Source organism: Homo sapiens, chromosome 12, assembly GCF_000001405.40.
Source record: "Homo sapiens chromosome 12, GRCh38.p14 Primary Assembly".
NCBI lineage: Eukaryota > Metazoa > Chordata > Mammalia > Primates > Hominidae > Homo > Homo sapiens.
The window spans coordinates 47,421,509-47,446,894 of NC_000012.12; the positions used below are offsets into that span (position 1 = coordinate 47,421,509).

The following is a 25,386-nucleotide window of genomic DNA, read 5'->3' on the forward strand; positions in this document are numbered from 1 at the left end:
ATTTATACATATTTATATTTATATATATGTATACTTATATGTATACACGCATACACGTTCATATAAGGAAGCCATATCCTGAATGATAAAATAAACCTCAACAAATTTAAAAGAATTAAAATGATACAGAATATGTTTTTTGACTACATGGATTTCAAGCTAGAAATCAGTAACAAAAGGATAACATGAAAATCTCCAAACACATGGAAACCAATATAAATAGCTCATGGTAGTCTCAAGAAAATTTGAGAAATATAGTGAACTAAACAAAAATGAATATACAACATATTAAAATTTGTGGTATGCAGCTAAAACAGTGCAGAGGAAAAATCTTACAGCTCAAGACCTAGAGGTGAAAGTCTTGAATTAATAATCTAAGCTCTCACTTCAAGAACATAGAAAAAGAACAGCAAAAATCAGGCATACCTCATATTATTGTGCTTTGATTTCTTGTGATTCACAGACACTGTGCTTTTTACAAATTGAAGGTAGATAGCAGCTCTGTCAAGCAAGTCTACTGGTACCATTTTTCCAACAGCAGGTGGAAAAATTATGTCTATGTGTCACATTTTAGTAGTTCTCACAATATTTTAAACTTTTAAATTATTTTTATATCTGTTATGATGATTAGTGATCGTTGATATTACTATTGTAATTGCTTCTGGGATACTGCAAACAGCACCCATATAAGACAGCAAACTTAATTGATAAATGTTCCATGTGTCCTGACAGCTCCACTGACCAGCTATTTGCTCTCTCTCTCTCTCTCCCCTCAGGCCTCCTTATTTTCTGAGACACAACTATATTGAAATTAGGTCAACTAATACCCCCACATTGGCCTCTAAGTGTTCAAGTGACAGGAAGAGCTGCATGTCTCTCACGTTAAATTAAAAGCTAGGAAAAATTAAGCATAGAGAGGAAGGCAGGCAGAAAGCGAAGACAGGCCAAAAGCTAGACTCTTGGCACCAATTAGTTGGCCAAGTTGAGAATGCACAGGAAAAGTTTTTGAAGGCAATTAAAAGTGCTATGCCAGTGAACACACAAATAATAAGAAAGTGTAAAAAGCCTCATTGCTAATATGGAGAAAGTTTTAGTGGGCTAGATAGAAAATCAAACCAGCCACAACATTTCCCTAAGCCATAGCCTAATTCAGAGCAAGGATGTGCAAGGAGGTTAATGCTGTTTTCGTGCCTGCTAACACAACATTCATTCTGCAGCCCTTAGATCAAGGAGTAATTTCAACTTTCTAGTCTCATTACTTAAGAAATAAATTTTGTAAGGCTATAGTTGTCATAGATAGTGATTCCTTGGATGCATCTGGGCAAAATACATTGAAAACCTTCTGGAAAGGATTCATCATTCTAAATGCCATTAAGAACATTCATGACTCATGGGAGGAGGTCAAAATAGCAACTTTAACAGGAGTTTGGAAGAAGTTTATTCCAATCCTCATGGGTTATTTCGAGATGTTAAAGACTTCAGTGGAAGAAATAATTGCTAATGTGGTGGAAATAGCAAGAAAATTAGAATTAGAAGCCTGAAGATGTGACTGAATTGCTGCAATCTCATCAAAAAACTTGAACAGATGAGGAGTTGCTTCTTATGGATGAGCAAAAAAAGTGGTTTCTTGACATGGAATCTACTCCTGGTGAAGATGCTGTAAACATTGTTGAAATGACAATAAAGGATTCAGAATATTACATAAACTTAGTTGATAAAGCAGTGGCAGGGTTTGAGAGGATTAACTCTAATTTTGAAAGAAGTTCTACTGTGAGTAAAATGCTATCAAACAGCATCACATGCTACAGAGAAATCTTTTGTGAAGAGTCAATTGATGAGGCAAACCTCATTGTCTTATTTTAAGAAATTGCAGAGAGGCTTAAAAATGGCTGACTAGAGGCATCTGGTACTTGCCTCCTCCACAAAGCAGCACTGAAATAGCAAGTAGACAATCACACTTGTAATAGATCTTCTAAGAGAGAATACTGGAATTCAACAGACAAGTGGCAGGAAACACCTAAAGCAAGGAGGGAGAGGAAAGTGAGGCAGCCTGCTCAGCCATGATCAATTGGGACCCCAGAGAGCCTTCCCAACAGGGGAAAGAGTAAGTGGGAGATCCCCAGTGGTGCACATTTCCACCACAGACCCCTGAAATCCTAGCCATGGAAGAGTCTCTTGACCCTCACCTACCCTGAGAATAAAATAGAAAGTTGCAGAGGCCATATCATGGCACTACTTGGAGAGGGAGCTTGTGCTGGGTTCCACACTCGCTATGTGGTAGAGATAGCAAGATATATAGAATTAGAAGTGGAGCCTGAATATGTGACTGAATTGCTGCAGTCTCATCAAAAACCTTGAACAGATGAGGGATTGCGTCTCATGAATAAGCAAAGAAAGTGGTTTCTTGACATGGAATGTACTGAAGTGCACATTCAGTACATGTAGTGAAGATGCTGTGAATATTGTTGAAATGACAACAAAGAATTTAGAATGTTACATAAAGTAGTGCCTCTCAACTCCCATGAGCACTGAGAATAAAATAGGGAGTTGCAGAGACCATACAATGGCACTGCTCCAGACAGGGGGCTCACACTGGGTCCTAAGCAACTGTAGCACAATGTCATTTTGAGCCCAATCCCCAACACACTACATCCTGCCCTCGGGCTCAACGCTCCCTGCATCTCTACATCCCTGGAGCCCCAATGACGTTCCCTGCCCACAGTCATCACCACTGCTGGCTGCTGCCACTGGAGCTGAAGTACAAACCACTGGCAGCAACTCTGCTGCCCCCAATAGCAGGACAGCCCCACATTTAAAAGATATTCCACCTGCAACTGCCACCTGAAGCCCAAGAGTGTGCACCCTAGCTGCCTGCCTGTGGCTATTGCAACAGAAAGCAACATTGCCCTCCCCAACAACAGGACCACAGCATAGATGTTGTCACTCCCACCTGAGCATTCCACCAGGGGCTGGGGATGACGCTTCCCCTACCTACCACAGCCAGCATCTGCATGCATCAATGGGGGCTGAGGGCAGGAACACCCAGTCTGGCTCCATCCCTGCTAGTGTCCAAGCATGCTGTTCAGTGGTCTGGGGATCACCCAGCCCCGGCTACCACTACTGGTATCTAACCACTCCTTCTAGGATCCTGATGTCACACCCAACCAACCTGTCATTACCACCATAGCTGGTACCCACCTGCATACACTACTTGCAGGACTGGGGAATGGCCTACCTAGCCAGGTGTAGTTACCACCAACACCAGCACAGATCACTTGAGTGCCAGAGGGTCATCCCACCACTGCTAGTGATATCACCCACACCCACTGCCTAGGGACCTAACAACCAACCCACATGCTTGGCCCACCACTGCCATCCCTGGAACTCGAGCAACCTGGAAGCCCAAGAATAAGCTTGCTTGGCCCCACTAACACTGATGCCAGCATACACCACCCTGAGGCCCAAGTACAGGCATGATTGGTCCACCACTGCCACTACTGGGGCCCAAGAACTGGCCTACCTGGAATGCCTGTCTCCAATAAAACTTTACCATAGCCTCCATTAACAACTACACCCTAAGCCACGGATGACACCACAGACACCATGACCACTGTTTACAGCTGAAGAAATTATACAAGGACTATACTACTTCACACACCCAAAATCAAAGCCAAGGTGCCGTCCCAACCAACACCATAGTTATATCTTCAGGAAAAATCCTCCCCTCCCCTAGGAAAGCAAATCCAAAATAGGAAGAATATGTTGTTACACCAGATGCTCAGATATCAATGTAAGGACACAAAAAACACGAAAAAGCAAGAAAATATGACACCTGCAGAGGAACACAATAATTCTCCAGCAACAGATTCCAATGAAATTTATGAAATTTCATAAAATCCTAGAAAAAATTCAAAATATTGACATTAAAAAATTCAGTGATATGTAAGAGAATACAGGTAAACAATACAAAGAAATCAGAAAAAAACAATTCAGGATATGAATGAGAAATTAACCAAAGAGATATCATAGAAAAGAACCAAACAGAAATACTGGAAATGAAGAATTCAATTAATGAAATAAAACAATGCATTTAAAGTCTACAACAATGGACTAGATGAACCAGAAGAAAGAATTTGAGAAGTTGAAGATAAGGCCTTTGAAATAACCCAGTCAGACAAAAATAAAAAAAAGAAAAAGAGTGAACAAAGCCTATGTGCCATATGGGACACCATAAAGCAATCAAATATTTGAATTTTTAGTGTCCCAGAAGGCAAGATAAAATGAAAGGGATAGAACATCTATTTAATAAAATAATAGCTGAAAACTTCTAAAGTCTGGCAAGAGATAGAGATATCCAGGTACAGGAAGTGTATAGGTTTCCAACTAGTTACATTCAATAAGATCTTCTCCACAGCACATTATTGTCAAACTGTCAAAAGTCAAAGGTTAAAAAAATTCTAAAAACAGTAAGAGAAAAGCATCTAGTCAATTATAAGGTAGCTCTGATTAGAATAACAGAAGATTTCTTTTTTAAATTTTATTATTATTATTATTATTATTATTATTATTATTATTATTATTATTTTTGAAATGGAGTCTGGCTCTTGTCCTCCAGGCTGGAGTGCAATGGCACAATCCTGGCTCACTGCAACCTCCGCCTCCCAGCTTCCAGCAATTCTCCTGCCTCAGCCTCCTGAGTAGCTGGGACTACAGGTTCATGCCACCACGCCCAGCTAATTTTTGTATTTTTGGTGGAGATGGGGATTCACCATGTTGGCCGGGCTGGTCTCAAACTCCTGACCTCAGGAGACCTGCCCACCTTGGCCTTCCAAAGTGCTGGGATTACAGGCATGAGCCACCATGTCCAGCCTAACAGCAGATTTCTTAGCAAGAAACCTTACAGGCCAGGAGAGAATGGGATATTATATTCAAAGTGCTAAAAGAAAAAAATCAGTCAAGGATACTATACCCAGAAAAGTTATTCTTCATGAATGAAGGAGAAATAAAGTCCTTAAGGGAGTCCTATACCTGCAAGTGAAAGGATGATGTCCACCATCACAAAAACACACAAAAGTATTAAACCCATCAGTAGAGCAAACACACAAATAAGGAAGACAAAGAACTCAAATAGTACACTATAGAAAACCACAAAGCTACAATAAACAATGGGAGAAAGAAAAAAACAAAGAATATGGGAAAAACCCAGAAATTAATAAATAAAGTGACTGGTATAAGTGCACACATATCAATAATAACCTAATAACCTTGAGTGTAATGTTCCCATTTAAAAGATAGAGGTGGGCTAAATGGATTAAGAAAAAAATGAAAATCAAAAAAGAGGAGGAGTAGCTATACTTACATAAAACAATCTTTAAGTCAAAAAATAGTAGAAAGACGGGGAGGAGCCAAGATGGCCGAATAGGAACAGCTCCGGTCTACAGCTCCCAGCGTGAGTGACGCAGAAGACGGGTGATTTCTGCATTTCCATCTGAGGTACCAGGTTCATCTCACCAGGGAGTGCCAGACAGTGGGCGCAGGTCAGTGGGTGTGCGCACCGTGGGCGAGCCGAAGCAAGGTGAGGCATTGCCTCACTCAGGAAGTGCAAGGGGTCAGGGAGTTCCCTTTCCTAGTCAAAGAAAGGGGTGACGGAGGGCACCAGGAAAATCGGGTCACTCCCACCCGAATACTGTGCTTTTCTGACGGGCTTAAAAAACGGCGCACCACGAGATTATATCCCGCACCTGGCTCGGAGGGTCCTAGCCCACAGAGTCTCGCTGACTGCTAGCACAGCAGTCTGAGATCAAACTGCAAGGCGGCAGCGAGGCTGGGGGAGGGGCGCCCGCCATTGCCCAGGCTTGCTTAGGTAAACAAAGCAGCCAGGAAGCTTGAACTGGGTGGAGCCCACCACAGCTCAAGGAGGCCTGCCTGCCTCTGTAGGCTCCACCTCTGGAGGCAGGGCACAGACAAACAAAAAGCAGTAACCTCTGCAGACTTAAATGTCCCTGTCTGACAGCTTTGAAGAGAGCAGTGGTTCTCCCAGTATGCAGCTGGAGATCTGAGAATGGGCAGACTGCCTCCTCAAGTGGGTCCCTGACCCCTGACCCCCAAGCAGCCTAACTGGGAGGCACCCCCCAGCAGGGGCACACTGACACCTCACACGGCAGGGTACTCCAACAGACCTGAAGCTGAGGGTCCTGTCTGTTAGAAGGAAAACTAACAAACAGAAAGGACATCCACACCAAAAACCCATCTGTACATCACCATCATCAAAGACCAAAAGTAGATAAAACCACAAAGATAGGGAAAAAACAGAACAGAAAAACTGGAAACTCTAAAAAGCAGAGCGCCTCTCCTCCTCCAAAGGAACACAGTTCCTCACCAGCAATGGAACAAAGCTGGATGGAGAATGACTTTGACGAGCTGAGAGAAGAAGGCTTCAGACGATCAAATTACTCCGAGCTACGGGAGGACATTCAAACCAAAGGCAAAGAAGTTGAAAACTTTGAAAAAAATTTAGAAGAATGTATAACTAGAATAACCAATACAGAGAAGTGCTTAAAGGAGCTGATGGAGCTGAAAACCAAGGCTCGAGAACTACGTGAAGAATGCAGAAGCCTCAGGAGCCGATGCGATCAACTGGAAGAAAGGGTATCAGCAATGGAAGATGAAATGAATGAAATGAAGCAAGAAGGGAAGTTTAGAGAAAAAAGAATAAAAAGAAATGAGCAAAGCCTCCAAGAAATATGGGACTATGTGAAAAGACCAAATCTACATCTGATTGGTGTACCTGAAAGTGACGGGGAGAATGGAACCAAGTTGGAAAACACTCTGCAGGATATTATCCAGGAGAACTTCCCCAATCTAGCAAGGCAGGCCAACATTCAGATTCAGGAAATACAGAGAACACCACAAACATACTCCTCGAGAAGAGCAACTCCAAGACACATAATTGTCAGATTCACCAAAGTTGAAATGAAGGAAAAAATGTTAAGGGCAGCCAGAGAGAAAGGTCGGGTTACCCTCAAAGGGAAGCCCATCAGACTAACAGCAGATCTCTCAGCAGAAACCCTACAAGCCAGAAGAGAGTGGGGGCCAATATTCAACATTCTTAAAGAAAAGAATTTTCAACCCAGAATTTCATATCCAGCCAAACTAAGCTTCATAAGCGAAGGAGAAATAAAATACTTTACAGACAAGCAAATGCTGAGAGATTTTGTCACCACCAGGCCTGCCCTAAAAGAGCTCCTGAAGGAAGTGCTAAACATGGAAAGGAACAACCGGTACCAGCCGCTGCAAAATCATGCCAAAATGTAAAGACCATAGAGACTAGGAAGAAACTGCATCAACTAATGAGCAAAATGTCCAGCTAACATCATCATAACAGGATCAAATTCACACATAACAATATTAACTTTAAATGTCAATGGACTAAATGCTCCAGTTAAAAGACACAGACTGGCAAATTGGATAAAGAGTCAAGACTCATCAGTGTGCTGTATTCAGGAAACCCATCTCACGGGCAGAGACACACATAGGCTCAAAATAAAAGGATGGAGGAAGATCTACCAAGCAAATGGAAAACAAAAAAAGGCAGGGGTTGCAATCCTAGTCTCTGATAAAACAGACTTTAAACCAACAAAGATCAAAAGAGACAAAGAAGGCCATTACATAATGGTAAAGGGATCAATTCAACAAGAAGAGCTAACTATCCTAAATATATATGCACCCAATACAGGAGCACCCAGATTCATAAAGCAAGTCATGAGTGACCTACAAAGAGACTTAGATTCCCACACATTAATAATGGGACACTTTAACACCCCACTGTCAACATTAGACAGATCAACAAGACAGAAAGTCAAAAAGGATACCCAGGAATTGAACTCAGCTCTGCACCAAGCGGACCTAATAGACATCTACAGAACTCTCCACCCCAAATCAACAGAATATACATTTTTTTCAGCACCACACCACACCTATTCCAAAATTGACCACATACTTGGAAGTAAAGCTCTCCTCAGCAAATGTAAAAGAACAGAAATTATAACAAACTATCTCTCAGACCACAGTGCAATCAAACTAGAACTCAGGATTAAGAATCTCATCAAAACCACTCCACTACATGGAAACTGAACAACCTGCTCCTGAATGACTACTGGGTACATAACGAAATGAAAGCAGAAATAAAGATGTTCTTTGAAACCAACAAGAACAAAGACACAACATACCAGAATCTCTGGGACACATTCAAAGCAGTGTGTAGAGGGAAATTTATAGCACTAAATGCCCACAAGAGAAAGCAGGAAAGATCCAAAATTGACACCCTAACATCACAATTAAAAGAACTAGAAAAGCAAGAGCAAACACATTCAAAAGCTAGCAGAAGACAAGAAATAACTAAAATCAGAGCAGAACTGAAGGAAATAGAGACACAAAAAACCCTTCAAAAAATTAATGAATCCAGGAGCTGGTTTTTTGAAAGGATCAACAAAATAGATAGACTGCTAGCAAGACTAATAAAGAAAAAGAGAGAGAAGAATCAAATAGATGCAATAAAAAATGATAAAGGGGATATCACCACTGATCCCACAGAAATACAAACTACCATCAGAGAATACTACAAACACCTCTACACAAATAAACTAGAAAATCTAGAAGAAATGGATAAATTCCTCGACACCTACACTCTCCCAAGACTAAACCAAGAAGAAGTTGAATTTCTGAATAAACCAATAACAGGATCTGAAATTGTGGCAATAATCAATAGTTTACCAACCAAAAAGAGTCCAGGACCAGATGGATTCACAGCCAAATTCTCCCAGAGGTACAAGGAGGAACTGGTACCATTCCTTCTGAAACTATTCCAATCAATAGAAAAAGAGGGAATCCTCCCTAACTCATTTTATGAGGCCAGCATCCTTCTGATACCAAAGCCTGGCAGAGACACAACCAAAAAAGAGAATTTTAGACCAATATCCTTGATGAACATTGATGCAAAAATCCTCAATAAAATACTGGCAAAACGAATCCAGCAGCACATCAAAAAGCTTATCCACCATGATCAAGGGGGCTTCATCCCTGGGATGCAAGGCTGGTTCAATATACGCAAATCAATAAATGTAATCCAGCATATAAACAGAGCCAAAGACAAAAACCACATGATTATCTCAATAGATGCAGAAAAGGCCTTTGACAAAATTCAACAATGCTTCATGCTAAAAACTCTCAATAAATTAGGTATTGATGGGACGTATTTCAAAATAATAAGAGCTATCTATGAAAAACCCACAGCCAATATCATACTGAATGGGCAAAAACTGGAAGCATTCCCTTTGAAAACTGGCACAAGACAGGGATGCCCTCTCTCACCACTCCTATTCAACATAGTGTTGGAAGTTCTGGCCAGGGCAATTAGGCAGGAGAAGGAAATAAAGGGTATTCAATTAGGAAAAGAAGAAGTCAAATTGTTCCTGTTTGCAGACGACATGATTATATATCTAGAAAACCCCATTGTCTCAGCCCAAAATCTCCTTAAGCTGATAAGCAACTTCAGCAAAGTCTCAGGATACAAAATAAATGTACAAAAATCACAAGCATTCTTATACACCAACAACAGACAAACAGAGAGCCAAATCATGAGTGAACTCCCATTCACAATTGCTTCAAAGAGAATAAAATACCTAGGAATCCAACTTACAAGGGATGTGAAGGACCTCTTCAAGGAGAACTACAAACCACTGCTCTATGAAATAAAAGAGGATACAAACAAATGGAAGAACATTCCATGCTCATGGGTAGGAACAATCAATATCATGAAAATGGCCATACTGCCCAAGGTAATTTACAGATTCAATGCCATCCCCCTCAAGCTACCAATGCCTTTCTTCACAGAATTGGAAAAAACTACTTTAAAGTTCATATGGAACCAAAAAAGAGACCTCATCACCAAGTCAATCCTAAACCAAAAGAACAAAGCTGGAGGCATCACACTACCTGACTTCAAACTATACTACAACGCTACAGTAACCAAAACAGCATGGTACTGGTACCAAAACAGAGATATAGATCAATGGAACAGAACAGAGCCCTCAGAAATAACGCCGCATATCTACAACTATCTGATCTTTGACAAACCTGAGAAAAACAAGCAATGGGGAAAGGATTCCCTATTTAATAAATGGTGCTGGGAAAACTGGCTAGCCATATGTAGAAAGCTGAAACTGGATCCCTTCCTTACACCTTATACAAAAATGAATTCAAGATGGATTAAAGACTTAAACGTTAGACCTAAAACCATAAAAACCCTAGAAGAAAACCTAGGCATTACCATTCAGGACATAGGCATGGGCAAGGACATCATGTCTAAACACCAAAAGCAATGGCAACAAAAGACAAAATTGACAAATGGGATCTAATTAAACTAAAGAGCTTCTGTACAGCAAAAGAAACTACCATCAGAGTGAACAGGCAACCTACAAAATGGGAGAAAATTTTTGCAACCTACTCATCTGGCAAAGGGCTAATATCCAGAATCTACAATGAACTCAAACAAATTTACAAGAAAAAAACAAACAACCCTGTCAAAAAGTGGGCAAAGGACATGAACAGACACTTCTCAAAAGAAGACATTCATGCAGCCAAAAGACACATGAAAAAATGCTCATCATCACTGGCCATCAGAGAAATGCAAATCAAAACCACAGTGAGATACCATCTCACACCAGTTAGAATGGCAATCATTAAAAAGTCAGGAAACAACAGGTGCTGGAGAGGATGTGGAGAAATAGGAACACTTTTACACTGTTGGTGGGACTGTAAACTAGTTCAACCATTGTGGAAGTCAGTGTGGCAATTCCTCAGGGATCTAGAACTAGAAATACCATTTGACCCAGCCATCCCATTACTGGCTATATACCCAAAGGACTATAAATCATGCTGCTATAAAGACACATGCACATGTATGTTTATTGTGGCACTATTCACAATAGCAAAGACTTGGAACCAACCCAAATGTCCAACAATGATAGACTGGATTAAGAAAATGTGGCACATATACACCATGGAATACTATGCAGCCATAAAAAATGATGAGTTCATGTCCTTTGTAGGGACATGGATGAAATTGGAAATCATCATTCTCAGTAAACTATCACAAGAACAAAAAACCAAACACCGCATGTTCTCACTCATAGGTGGGAATTGAACAATGAGATCACATGGACACAGGAAGGGGAACATCACACTCTGGAGACTGTTGTGGGGTGGGGGGAGGGGGGAGGGATAGCATTGGGATATATACCTAATGCTAGATGATGAGTTAGTGGGTGCAGCGCACCAGCGTGGCACATGTATAACATGTAGCTAACCTGCACAATGTGCACATGTACCCTAAAACTTAAAGTATAATAATAAGAGAAAAAAAAAAGTAGAAAGAGACATAGAAGATCATTATGTAATGATAAAAGGGTCAATTCAGCAAAAGTAATTAACAATTCTAAACATATGTGAACCCAACCACAGAGCAACTAGATATACAAAGCAAATATTGTTAGATCTAAAGGAAGATATAGACTCCAATACAATAATGGTAAAGGACTTCAACATCCTACTCTCAGCATTAAACAGATCATCTCGACAGAAAATTAGCTAAGACATATTGGATTTAATCCAAACTTTAGATCAAATGGACATAACAGACATTTACAGACAATTTCATCTAACAGTTACAGAATACACATTCTTCTCATCAGCATAAAGAACATTCTCCAGGATAAACAATATATTAGGACACAAAATAAATCTCAATAAATTTTTAAAAATCAAAATCATATCAAGTATCTTCTTAGACTACAATGGAATAAAAGTAGAAATCAATAACAAGAGGAACTTTGGAAACTGTATACATACATTAAACAGTATACTCTTGAATGACCACTGGGTCAAGGAAGAAATTAAGGAGGAAATCGAAACATTTCTTGAAAAAAATTTGAAATATAACATACCAAAACCTATGTGATACAACAAAAGCAGTGCTGAGAGGGAAGTTTATAGAAATAAACATCCACATTAGAAAAGTAGAAAGACTTCAAATACACAATCTAATGATACATCTCAAGGAATTAAAAAGCAAGAACAAACCAAACCAATTAGCAGAAGAAAATAAATAATAAAGATCAGGGCAGAACTAAACTAAATCGAGAGTAAAAACAAATTACAAAAAATCAACTAAATGAAAAGTTGGTTTTTTGAAAAAATAAACTGATAAAACACTACCTAGACTAATCAAGTAAAGGAGAAAATGCAAATAAGCAAAATTAGAAATTAAAAAGGAGACATTATAACTGATACTACAGAAATATAAAAGATCATCAGATACTATTATGAATAACTATATAGTGAGAAACTGGAAAACCTTGAGAAAATGGATAAGTTCCTAAATATGTATAACCTACTTAGATTGAATCACTACTTAGAAAGAAATGGAAAATGTAAACAGACCAATAATGAGTAATAAAATTGAATCAGTAATAAAGTCTCTCAACAGGAAAAAATGTCCAGAACCTGCCAGATTTTACCAAAGTTCCAAAGGAACTAACACTAATTCCCAAACTGTCAAAAATTGAGGATGAGAGAATTCTCCCTAACCCATTTTATGAGGTCAGCCTTACCATTACCAAAACCAAGCAAGGACACAACAAAAAAAGAAAATTACAGGCAAGTATCCCCAGTAAACATAGAGAAAAAAATCCTCAATAAAATACTACCCCACCAAATCCAACAGCATATGAAAAAGATAATACATCATGATCAAGTGCGATTTGTCCCAGGTATGCACGTATGGCTCAACATATGCAAATTAATAAATGTGATATATCACATTGACAGAATGAAGGACAAAAACCATGTGATTATCTCAATAGATGCAAAGTAGCATTTGATAAAATTCAACATTTCTTAATGATAAAAACTCTCAACAAACTAGGAGTAGAATGAACATATCTCAACATAATAAAGGTTATATATGACAAACCAAAAGCTAACATCATACTAAATGGGAAAAACCTGAAAGCCTTTCATCTAAGAACTGAAACAAGACAAGGATGTCCACTTTCACCACTCCTATTCAATGTAGTACTGGAAGTTCTGGCCAGAGTAACCAGTCAAGAGAAAGGAATAAAAAGTATGCAAATTGGGGAAAAGGAAGTCAAATTGCCCCATTCTGCAGATGATATGATCTTATATCTAGAAAAACCTAAAGACTCCACCAAAAAACCCTGACATCTGATGAATAAATTCAATATTCAGTAAAGCTTCTGGATACAAAATCAACAACAATAAAAAATCAGTAGCATTTCTATACACCAATAATGAACTAGCTGAGAAAAAAATTAAGAAGGCAATCCCACTTACAATAGCTACAAAAAAAAAATACCTAGGAATAAATTTAACCAAGAAGATGAAAAACTTCTGCAAGAAAAACTACAAAGCACTGGTGAAAGAAATTGAAGAGGACAACAAATGAAAAAAAATCCCATGCTCATGGATCAGAATTAATATTGTTAAAATGACCTTATTTAAAGCAATCTACACATTCAGTGCAATACACATCAAAATACCTATGTCATTTTTTCCACAGAAATAGAAAAAAAAAAACACCTAAAATTTGTATGGTGTTTTTTGTTTTTTTTAAAAAAAGCCCAAACAACAAAAATAATCCTGAGCAAAAAGAATAAAGCTGGAAGCGTCACATTACCTGACTTCAAAATATGTTACAAGGCTATAGTAACCAAAACAGCATGGTATTGATATAAAAATAGATGCACAGATGAATGGAACAGAATGAAGAACCCAGACATAAATCCACATATTTATAGTCAAAGTGCCTTGACAAAGTGCCTTGACAAAGTCACTAAGAATATACATTGGGGAAAGACCACCTTCTTCAATAAATGGTGCTGGGAAAATCAAATAGCCATATGCAGAAGAATAAAACTGGACCCCATCTCTCACCATATACATAAATCAACTCAAAATAAATTAAAGACTTAAATTTAAGACCCGAAACTAAAACTACTAGAAGAAAACATAGGGGAAATGCTTCAAGACATTGGCCTAGGCAAAGATTTTTAGCTAAGACCTCAAAAGCACAGGCAACTAAAATGAAAACAGATAAATGGGATTACATCAAACTAAAAACCTTCTGCACAGCAAAGGAAACAACAGAGGGAAGAGGCAGCATGTTGAATAGGAGATAATATTTACAAACTATTCATTCAATAAAGGACTAATATCAAGACCAGCCTGCCCAACGTGGTGAAACCCCATCTCTATTAAAAATATAAAAATTAGCCGGGCATGGTGGTGTGCTCCTGTAATCCCAGCTACTTGGGAGGCTGAGGCAGGAGAATTGCTTGAACTCAGGAGGCAGAGGTTGCAGTGAGCTGAGATCATGCCATTGCATTCCAGCCTGGGCAACAGGAGTGAAACTCCATCTTAAAAAATAATAATAAAAATAAAGGACTAATATCCAGAATATGCAAGGAACCCAAACAACTCAATAAGAAAAAATAATAATAACCCCATTAAAAAGTGGACAAAGAACATGAATAGATATTTTTCAAAAGGAGACATAGAAATGGCTAACAGATACATGAAAATATGGCCAATATCTCTAATCATCAGAAATGCAAATCAAAGCCACAGTGGGATATCCTCTTACTCTAGTTAGAATGGTTATTATAAAAAAGATGAAAACCCCAGATGCTGGTGAAGATGCAGAGAAATGAGAACTATTATATACTTTTGGTAGGAATGTTAGTACAACCACCGTAACAAACAATATGGAGATTTCTCAAAAAACTAAAAATAGAACTACCATATGACTCAACAATCCCACTACTGGATATTTATTCAAAGGAAAGAAAATCAGAATATCACAGGGAAACCTGTACTCCATGTGTATTGCAGCACTATTTATAATAGCAAATATATGGAATCAACCTGAGCGTCCATCAATGGACAAATGGATAAATAAAATGTGATATATATACACAGTGCAATACTATTTGGCCATAAAATGGAATAAAATCATGTCATTTATGGCAACACAGATGGAACTAGAGTTCACTATATTAAGTGAAATAAACCAGGCTGAGAAAGACAAAGAGTACACATTCTCGTTCATATGTAGGAGCTAAAAAAGTTGGTCTCATTGGGGTAGAAAGTGGAATGATAAATATCAGAGGCTGGGAAGGGTGTACGGCTGAAGAGGGGGATGAGGAGAGGTTGGTTAATGGGTGCAAACATTAGTTAGATAGATGGAATAAGTTCTAATGCTCACCAGAAAAGCAGCTTGACTATAGTTAAAACAATGTATATTGTACGTTTAAAAATAGCTAGAAGAGAGGACTTGAAATGTTCCCAACACATAGAAATAATAAGTAATTGAGGTGACACCTTAAGTACTCTGACTTGATCATTACATATTCTACGCATGTAAAAAAATCACATATACCCCATAAATATGTATAATATCATGCTTCATTAAAGATAAATAAATTATTATTATGTATTAAGAAAGAAGGCCGGGTGCGGAGGCTCACGACTGTAATCCCAGCACTTTGGGACGCTGAGGCGGGTGGATCACGAGGTCAGGAGATCGAGACCTTCCTGGCTAACACGGTGAAACCCCGTCTCTACTAAAAATACAAAAAAATTAGCCGGGCGTGGTGGCGGGCGCCTGTAGTCCCAGCTACTCGGGAGCCTGAGGCAGGAGAACGGTGTGAACCCGGGAGGCGGAGCTTGCAGTGAGCTGAGATGGAGCCAATGCACTCCAACCTGGGCGACAGAGCAAGACTTCATCTCAAAAAACAAAAGAAAGAAAGAAAGAAAATTGCCACAGACACCCCAACCTTCAGCAACCACCACCCTGATCAGTTAGCAGACGTCAACATTGAAGCAAGACTCTCCACCAGCAAAAAGATACAACTCACTGAAGCCTCAGATGGTTGTTAGTATTTTTTAGCAATAAAATATTTTAAATAAAGGTATGTACATTTTTCAGACATAATACTATTGAACACTTATTACACTACATCATGGTGTAAACATAACTAGTATATGCATTAGAAAACCAAACAATTTTTGTGATTAGCTTTATTGTGATATTCACTTTTATTGTGGTGGTCTGGGACCAAACCCACAACATCTCAGAAGTATGCTTGTAAATCCAAAGCAAACAGAAGGAAGGAGGTAATAAAGATAAAAGCAGAAACCCATGAAACTGCAAACAAGACAATAGAGAAAGTTAGTGAAACATAAAGTGGTTCTTTGAGAAGACCAATAAAATTGACAGACCTCTAGCAAGACTGGCAAAGAAAAAAAGGAAGACAAAGATGATAAATATTGGGAATAAAAGAGAATATCACCTTAAACCCTACAGACATCAAAAAGATAATAAGAGAATTCTATAAACAAATCTATGTACATAAATCTGGCAACTCAGATGATATGAATCAATTATTCAAAAACAAATTACCATTACTCATGCAACAGGAAATAGATCATTAGAATAATCTATTGTTATTAAATAAATTAAATTAGGATTTAAAAACCTTTTCAAAAGCTTCAGGCCCGTATGGTTTCATTGAAGAATTCTACCAAATATTTAAAGAAGAACTAACACCAATTCCATACATTTGCTTGCAGAAAATTAAATTGGGAGCACTTCCAAATTCACTTTATAAGGCTAATGTTAGTTTAATATAAAAATCAGAGAAGAAAGAAAAAGATGGAAAGAAAGAAAGAAAGAAAGAAAAAGGAAGGAAGGAAGGAAGAGGAAGGAAGGAAGGGAAAGAAAGAAAGGAAGAGAGAGAAGAAAGAGAGAAAGGAAGAGAGAGAAGAAAGAGAGAAAGAAAGAAAAGACAAAGAAAGAAAAGAAAGAAAAAGAAAGAAAGAAAGAAAGAGAAAGAAAGAAAGAAGGAAGGAAGCCCCTCTCATGAGTATAGATGCGAAAATTCTTAACAAAATATTAGCAAGCAGAATTCAGGGATATATAAAAAGAATTATATACCATATCCAAGTGGAGTCTATTCCATGGATGCAAGGGTGGTTAAATATTGAAAAATCGACCAATGTGACCCACCATATCAACAAGCTAAGGAAGAAAAATTATATGATCTTATTAACAGATATAGGGAAAACATTTGAACAAAATCAGCAGTCATTCATGATAAATACTTTCAAAAAACTAGAAATAGGGGGAGAAACTTCCTAAACTTAATTTTAAAAAATCCACAAAAAATCCTGTAGCTACCATACTTAATGCCAAAAGAATGAATGGTTTCTTCTTAAGTTCAGGAAAAGGGCAAGAATTTCCATCACTGATATTCAAAATAGTAAATCACTCATCACTGGTATGCAACGTACTGTTGGAAATTCTGGCCATTGCAGTAAGGCAAGAAAAGGAAATAAAATGCACACAGAGTGGAAAGAAAGAAATAACTGTTCCTATTTGCAGATGGCATGAGTGTCTACATAGAAAATTCCCCCAAATTAAAATACTCCTAGAACTGATAAGTAAGTTTAGCAAGGTCACAGGATACAACATCAACATACAAAAAACAATTGCATTTCTACATACTAGTAAAGACACCTGGACACTAAAATTAAAAATATAAAACCAGGCCGGGTGAGGTGGCTCATGCCTGTAATCTCAACACTTTGGGAGGCTGAGGGGGGTGGATCACGAGGGCAGGAGATCAAGACCACCTTGACTAACACAATGAAACCCCATATCTACTAAAAAATACCAAAAAAATTAACCAGGTGTGGTGGTGGGTGCCTGTAGCCCCAGCTACTCAGGAGGCTGAGGCGGGAGAATGGTGTGAACTCAGAAGGCAGAGCTTGCAGTGAGCCAAGATTGCGCCACTGCACTCCAGCCTGGGAGTCAGAGCGAGACTCCATCCCAACAAATAAATAAATAAATAAATTATATATATATAGCCATTATAATTGCTGTTAAAAAATGAAATACTTATGTGTAAATCTACCAATGCACACACAGGACGTGCATACTGAAAACTACACAACACTCATGAAAGACATCAAAGATCAAAATAAATAGAAGGATATTCTGAATGTTTGAATTGGAAAACTCAAAGTAACTAAAGATGTGCATTCTTCCAAGTTGATATACAGTTGAACATTATTCATATCAAAATCTTAGATTTGTTGTAAATATAGACAAAATTATTCTAAAATTCACATGGAAAAGCAAAGTAACTAGAATAGTGTAAATATTTCTTATAAGCTGGGAATGGTGGCTTATGCCTGTAATCCCAGAACTTTGGGAAGCCAAAGCAGGAAGATTGCTTGAACCCAGGAGTTTAAGACCAGCCTGGGCAATACGGCAAAACCCCATCTCTACAAAAAATATAAAAAAAATTAGCCAGGTGTGGTGATGTGTGCCTGTAATCCCAACTACTCAGGTGACTGAGGCAGGAGGATCACTTGAGCCTGGGAGGTAGAAGCTGCAGTGAGCCATAATCACACCACCACACTCCAGCCTGGGCAACAGAATGAGGCCGTGTCTCTAATATTAATAATAATAATAATTCTTATAAAGAAAAATAGTGGGAGAAATCAACCTATCTGATTTCAAGGCTTGACATATAGCTACAGTAATCAAGACTGTGTGTTGCTGGCAGAAGGACGGACACAAGCTAATGGAAGAGTATAGAGAACCAATAAATTGTTGCATATAAATGTGGCTGATTTTTGACAAAGGTGTAAAAGCAATTCAATGGAGGAAGGATAGCATTTTCAACAAATGTGCTGGAGCAACTTGATATCCATAGGAAAAATCAAAACAAAATAAGTTTACCTAAACCTCACATCATATAAAAAATTAACTCAAAATGCATCCTAGGTCTAAATTAAAATTTTAATAATTTTATAACACAAGAGAAGATCTTTGGGACTTAGGGTTCAGTGTAGGATTCTTCAGCATGATACCATAAAAGAAAGTATCAATAAATTGAACTTCATCAAAATTTAAAAAATCTTTAACTCTACCAAAGACCCTGATGAAAAGAGAAGTTATAGAATGGGAGAACATATTTTCAGACCAAATACCTGACAAAGAATTTATATATATAAAAAAAAGTTTTCAAAAGTCAACATTAAAATAACCAAAGAATCCAATTAGAAAATGGGTGAAAATCATAAAGAGACAGTTTAATAAACAGGATATATAGCTTGAGCCCAGGAGTTCAAGACCAGCCTAGGCAACATGGAGACAAAAAATTTTGTAGAGACAATGTCTATACAAAAAATTTAAAAATTAGCCGGGCATGGTGGCGCATGCCTGTGGTCCCAGCTACTTGGAAAGCTGAGGCAGAGGATCGCTTGAGTCCAAGAGGTCGAGGCTGCAGTGAGCCATGATCATGCCATTGCACTCGAGTCTGGGATACAGAGTGAGACCCTGTCTCAAAAAAAAAAAAAAAAAAAAAAAAAGAAAGGAAAGAAAAGAATACGTACATGGTAAATAAGCACACAAAAACGTGTTCAACATCATTAGTCATTAGATAAATACAAATTAAGACCATAATAAGATATCACTACACCACTAGTAGAAAAGCTAATTTATAGTGACAGTACCAAATGCTGGTGAGGATGTAGAGAAACTGTATTTCTTACACATTGCTATTGGGATTGTAAAATGGTACCACCACTCTTGAAAATAGCTTGTCAGTTTCTTAAAACAAACAAAAAACATGCAACTAGCATATGATCCAGCAACTGCACTCTTGGTTATTTATTCCAAAAAAATAAAACACATGTCCATACAAATGCTTGTACATGTGTGGTCATAACAGCTTTGTATGTAATAGTGAAAAACTGGAAACAAACAAAATGTCCTTCCCTAGGTATATGGATAAACAAACCATGGTACCCCTATACCATGAAATACCTTTACTCCACCATTCCTAGTGACGTCTTTTTTTCTCATTGTCTAAGATAGCTACTAAAGCTCCAGGCATTACATCCATGTTCCAAGCAGCCAGATGAGAAAAGGGAGAAAGAAAAGTGTGTCCCTTTCCCTCCATCTTAAGATAATTCCTGAAAATCTCAAATACTGTGTTGGCTTACATGTCATTGGCTAGAATTGATCACATGGCCAGCCCCTCTGCAAGGAATGCTGGGAAATATTGTCTTTTTGGTTGGGTGGCAATATGCCTGGCTAAAAATTGAGGTTCTCTTATTTGAGAAGAGTGACAGAACTAGGTTTTTTGTGTCCTGAAGCTTATACAATCTGGGGGTAATGGAAGACAATAAAGTCTTTTTGCTAACAAATTTCACAAAAACATCTGACCTGAAAACACATTGTGGAGGCCCCTCCCAGGGCTTTGAAAAGGCCTATTTGAATGGAGGCCATGAGACTTAGGCTTGTTCACCTCATTGTAAATATACTTCTGTTTTGGAGGCAAACAGTAATGTCTGGCACAGTGTTACTCTGAAGGTAATGACCTTCAAAAAAACTTTCCTTCCACCTTTTCATTTCTTCTTCTTTATTAAATCAGAAAATCCAACTTTGAATAATCTACCAACAGCAAGTAACTTGAATTCTCTGAGGTTCATTTTTCCACCTGAAAAATAAAGATTATTAATACCCATCTGGCTAGATTCATGGGATGCCCAGATGAAATTATGGACCTGAAATTGCCTTATTACTATAAAGCACTATATAAATGTAAGGAACTATTATTAGCAACAATCAAAAGCTCATCCCATGAAAATGCTGAGGAAGAAGGTGGAGAAATGGGGAAGAAGGGGTCATCTTTTGAAACAGCCAGAATATTTGCCACCCAAAGCTATGAGGAAGAAGGAAAGATTCTTTGAACACCTACTATGAGCCAGTTTTAGTTATAGATGTTTTACCCTTGACTGGCACTCATTAAATATGTTTAATGAATCATACTTAGTCATAAAAATAGGTCTTTGAAACTTGAAATAGGGAAAAATTGCCCAACTTTGTAGAGATGTCAACAGAAATGGATCACTCTGAGCATCCCAAGTGATGGCATATATATCACGTCCATTCTTTCAGAGTTTCTTGGGCTGGCATAACTTTTGCTGACATCATGTCTAGCTTGAAGCAAGATCAACAGCCACACTTCACCAGATTTATACAGCCCTCTTCCACCCTCAGTAAAACATTGTTTTAAAAGGGCCAGACTATTGTCTGGTATCTTGCCGTGTCACTTTAATCAATAAATCAATCCATCAAGTATTTATTGGTTACCCACTTTTTACAGGGTGTATACCACCTGCTGGAAGATGAGGAGGTAGCCACCAAGAAGTAGAATAAGGCAAGGAGGGCAAAGAAATATAGAGCATAATCCCTGTTCCCCAAAACTTTACAATGTATTTGAAGAGATGTTGAAGAGATGTGTGTGTGGGTGTGTGTGTGTGCATGTGTGTATCTCAAATGTTAAGTAATTATGCCCAAAAACAAATGATAGCTTAATGAATGCTTAATTGAAGAGAAATCAGACCAAAGGTGCTATCAGGGTATACAGAATGAAAAAAATGCAGTGATCTGCAAAACTTTTTATGAAAGAGGATATATTTGAGCTAAGTATAAAAGGTAGTCTAAGAATTATATGGGGCAAGAAAAGAAAAACAGATAAGATAGGTGAGGTGGCAACATGATAATAAATGTAATCAGAAATGCAAGATACGAATAAAAGACATAGAATACACTGATGTGACTGAAGAGGATGAAAGAGACAAAATAAACTGTAGTTAAGATTTATAAAGAGGTTAGAGCTGAGACCAGCTCAGTCGGGGAGACCCTAACCCAGCAGCACTAGAGGAATTAAAGACATACACACAGAAATATAGAGGTGTGAAGTGGGAAATCAGCGGTCTCACAGCCTTTAGAGCTGAGAGCCCTGAACAGAGATTTACCCACATATTTATTAACAGCAAGAGAGTCATTAGCGTTGTTTCTATAGATATTAAATTAACTAAAAGTATCCCTTATGGGAAATGAAGGGATGGGCTGAATTAAAGGAATAGGTTGGGCTGGTTAACTGCAACGGGAGCATGTTCTTAAGGCACAGGTCACTCATGCTATTGTTTGTGGCTTAAGAATGCCTTTAAGTGGTTTTCCGCCCTGGGTGGGCCAGGTGTTCCTTGCCATGATTCTGGTAAACCCACAACCTTCCAGTGTGGGTGTTATGGCCAACATGAACATGTCACAGTGCTGCAGAGATTTTGTTTATGGCCAGTTTTGGGGCCAGTTTATGGCCAGATTTTGGGGGCCTATTCCCAACATGTCCCCCTTCTTTGATTTACAAAGTGATAAAAGCAAAGACAGCTTTGTCATGGTGAGCTACTTTTCACAGGAGTCAGGATCCACATCTGCAGACTATACAAAGACAAACAACACAGATTAAAAGCACAATCATCATTGAAATTACAGAGCTTCCAAATGTTTTTATCCATTTTAGTGGTTTACTACCTGCTAATCTGTCTGCAGCTCCTTTAAGCACTCCAGTTCTTGGCATTAAGGCCAGGTGCACCTGGGATGCTTTAAATATTTGTTCTTTTAATTTTGCTATATCTAAAAGCAAGTTTGTAGAGTGTCCTTCTAGTTTTTTTATTCTTTCCTAAATTTTGATCTTATTAAGAGCTATTAATAGTTTCCACAAATCCTTAATGTTTAGCTCCTACAGCAGGCCATATCATTTGAGGTTGAGGTGTCACTATACCACCATGGTTCCAGATAATAGGAACTCTTGCCATACTTCTTATCATTTCTACCATCTGACCATTTTGTTCAGAACATTTGAACATAGTGTGGCCATAGCACGCAGACTGAGAGGTGCAATTCAAGCTAAACATCCCCTTAGGGGACCAATTAATAAGGATTCCATAGGAATTGTTGTGCAGCACCTCTACCTGTTCTGCAATGCAATCTTCTTAAACAAGTACATTCATTTTTTCTTGCCAGGTTCAATTTTGTTTACAAATAGGTTTTTGAGGGGGGTATGCCTCAATTATAGGAGCAAATTTATTATGGTAAATACTGAGATCAGAAAGCATGTGTAACTGTGTCATAGAGTGATTACATCTAGGCATTATTGCCAGCCAAGATTGATAAATATGCCCAATAAGTATAATTCTTCCCTGTGTCAGCCCTTATTGAAGGAATACTCATGGCAATGGTGATCACTGCTATCATAGCTACCATTAAATTACTCATAGTGAGTGGTTGTCCTGCTTTCCTCAGGTTTTCTTCCGCCATCTGTGACAGCTTCTTGATCCGTCCCTAGGTGGGTGGCTGTGTTCGATGGGTGTTGCTCATGACAGTTGGGGTTGTCAATCTCAACATGGCTGCAACTGGGGGATCCTTGGGATACTCCCAGAGCCTCTTCCTTGGCATCTGGCTTATGATAAGGTTTCAGAAGTCTTGATGGTATCCAAATCGACTCTTGATTTTGGCCTGGAGAAACACAAGCATTACCTCTACCCCAAGTTATTATTTTACCTATTTCACAACTTTTTGTTATTGGATTTCTGCACCAAATCAATTGTTCTGCTTCTGTCTTTGCAGCTGGTTTCTATAGATGCTGTTCAGCTGCTGTTAACATCTGGCCTTTGGGCAGGCTTGAAAAATTTAAAGTTAATAATGCTAGATTCAGTTGCATCTGTGGGGTTCCATATTCTCTATTTCCCCCTTTTGGCTTTTGCACTGCTATTTTAGGGAAAGATTCATTCTTTCCGCTATGGCTTGTCCTTGAGAATTGTATGGGATACCAGTAATGTGTTTAATATTCCATATAGAGAAAAATGTAGCTAGAGCTTGGCTAGTATAACCTGGGGCATTATCTGTTTTAATAGAAGCTGGAATGCCCATCACAGCAAAACACTGCAAAAGGTGACATTTAACACAGCAGAAGACTCTTCTGATTGGCATGTAGCCCAGACAAAGTGAGAAAAGGTGTCTACACATACATGTACATAAGCTAGTCTCCCAAACGAGGTAACATGTGTGACATCCATTTGCCAAAGAGAGTTAGGTTCCAATCCTCAAGGATTAACTCCTCCTGTAAAAGATGAGGAATGTACCGTTTGGCAAGTTGGGCATCACTGGATAATAGCTTTAGCCTCTTTCCAGGTAATGTTGTATCTGCATTTGAGACCAGAGGCATTAACATGGGTTAAATTGTGAAAATGTCTAGCATTAGATATTGCATTAGCAACTAGGCGATCAGCCATTTGATTCCCTTCAGTCAAAGGTCCTGGAAGAGGTGTATGAGCCCTAATGTGAGTTATGTAAAAAGGGTGCATTTTACTTCTAACTGCTGTTTGCAATTGGGTAAATAAAGTCATAAGTTGTTCATCTGTATGAAATCGTAACTGAGCATTTTCAATTAACTGTGTGAAATGAACCACGTATGAAGAATCAGAAATCACATTAATAGGCATATTAAAAGCAGTCAATACCTCAATTACAGCTACAAGCTCCGCTTTTTGAGCTGAAGTATAGGGCATCTGAAAAACCTTACTTTTCCAGCCAGAATAAGATGCTTTACCATTACTAGACCTATCTGTGAAACAATGAAAATGCTTAGCAGGCTGCAGACTATTTACTGCAGGAATTGTAAATGCAAACCATTCATAGTCTTGCTCAGCTAAAGGGATAGTAAATAAACAGTCTTTTAAATCTATGACTATTAAAGGCCAATTTTTTGGAATTATAGCAGGAGAAGGCAATCCTGGCTGTAATGCTCCCATAGGTTGTATAACTGAACTGACAGCTCTTAGGTCAGTTAACATTCTCAATTTACCTGATTTTTTCTTAATTACAAAAATTGGAGAATTCCAAGGGGAAAATGTTGGAGCTATGTGCCCATTTTGTAATTGTTCAGTAACTAATTTCTCTAAAGCCTCCAGTTTCTCTTTACTTAGTGGCCATTGTTCTATCCAAATTGGCTTATCTGTTAACCATTTTAAAGGTATAGGTTCTGGAGGCTTAACAATGGCCACCATCAAAAATGATATCCTAATCTTTGGAGGGAACTATCTTTCCATTTGAAGCATTTCTTTCAAATCTTGCATTTTTTTTCTAGTCCCATACCAGGGACATGCCCCATTTCATGCATCATATGTCGACTTTGAGGGCTATATAATTGTTCTGCAATTAGAACTTGTGCTCCCCATTGTTGTAATAAATCTCTCCCACATAAATTTATAGGTACAGAAGTTATAATTGGTTGAATAGTCGCAGGTTGTCCATCGGGTCCTTTACAATGCAAAATATAACTACTTTGATATACTTCAGGGGCTTTACCAACTTCAACTATGTTAAATTGA

General features: G+C 38.3%; 1 annotated feature.

The window, feature by feature from the left end:
- Positions 5,296–5,945: an enhancer, noted in NCBI's record as "OCT4-H3K4me1 hESC enhancer chr12:47820587-47821236 (GRCh37/hg19 assembly coordinates)". NCBI's record gives its function as "activates a minimal SCP1, AML or CMV promoter by ChIP-STARR-seq in naive H9 embryonic stem cells {active_cell/tissue: H9 hESC(naive)}" and the evidence as "EXISTENCE:reporter gene assay evidence [ECO:0000049][PMID:30033119]".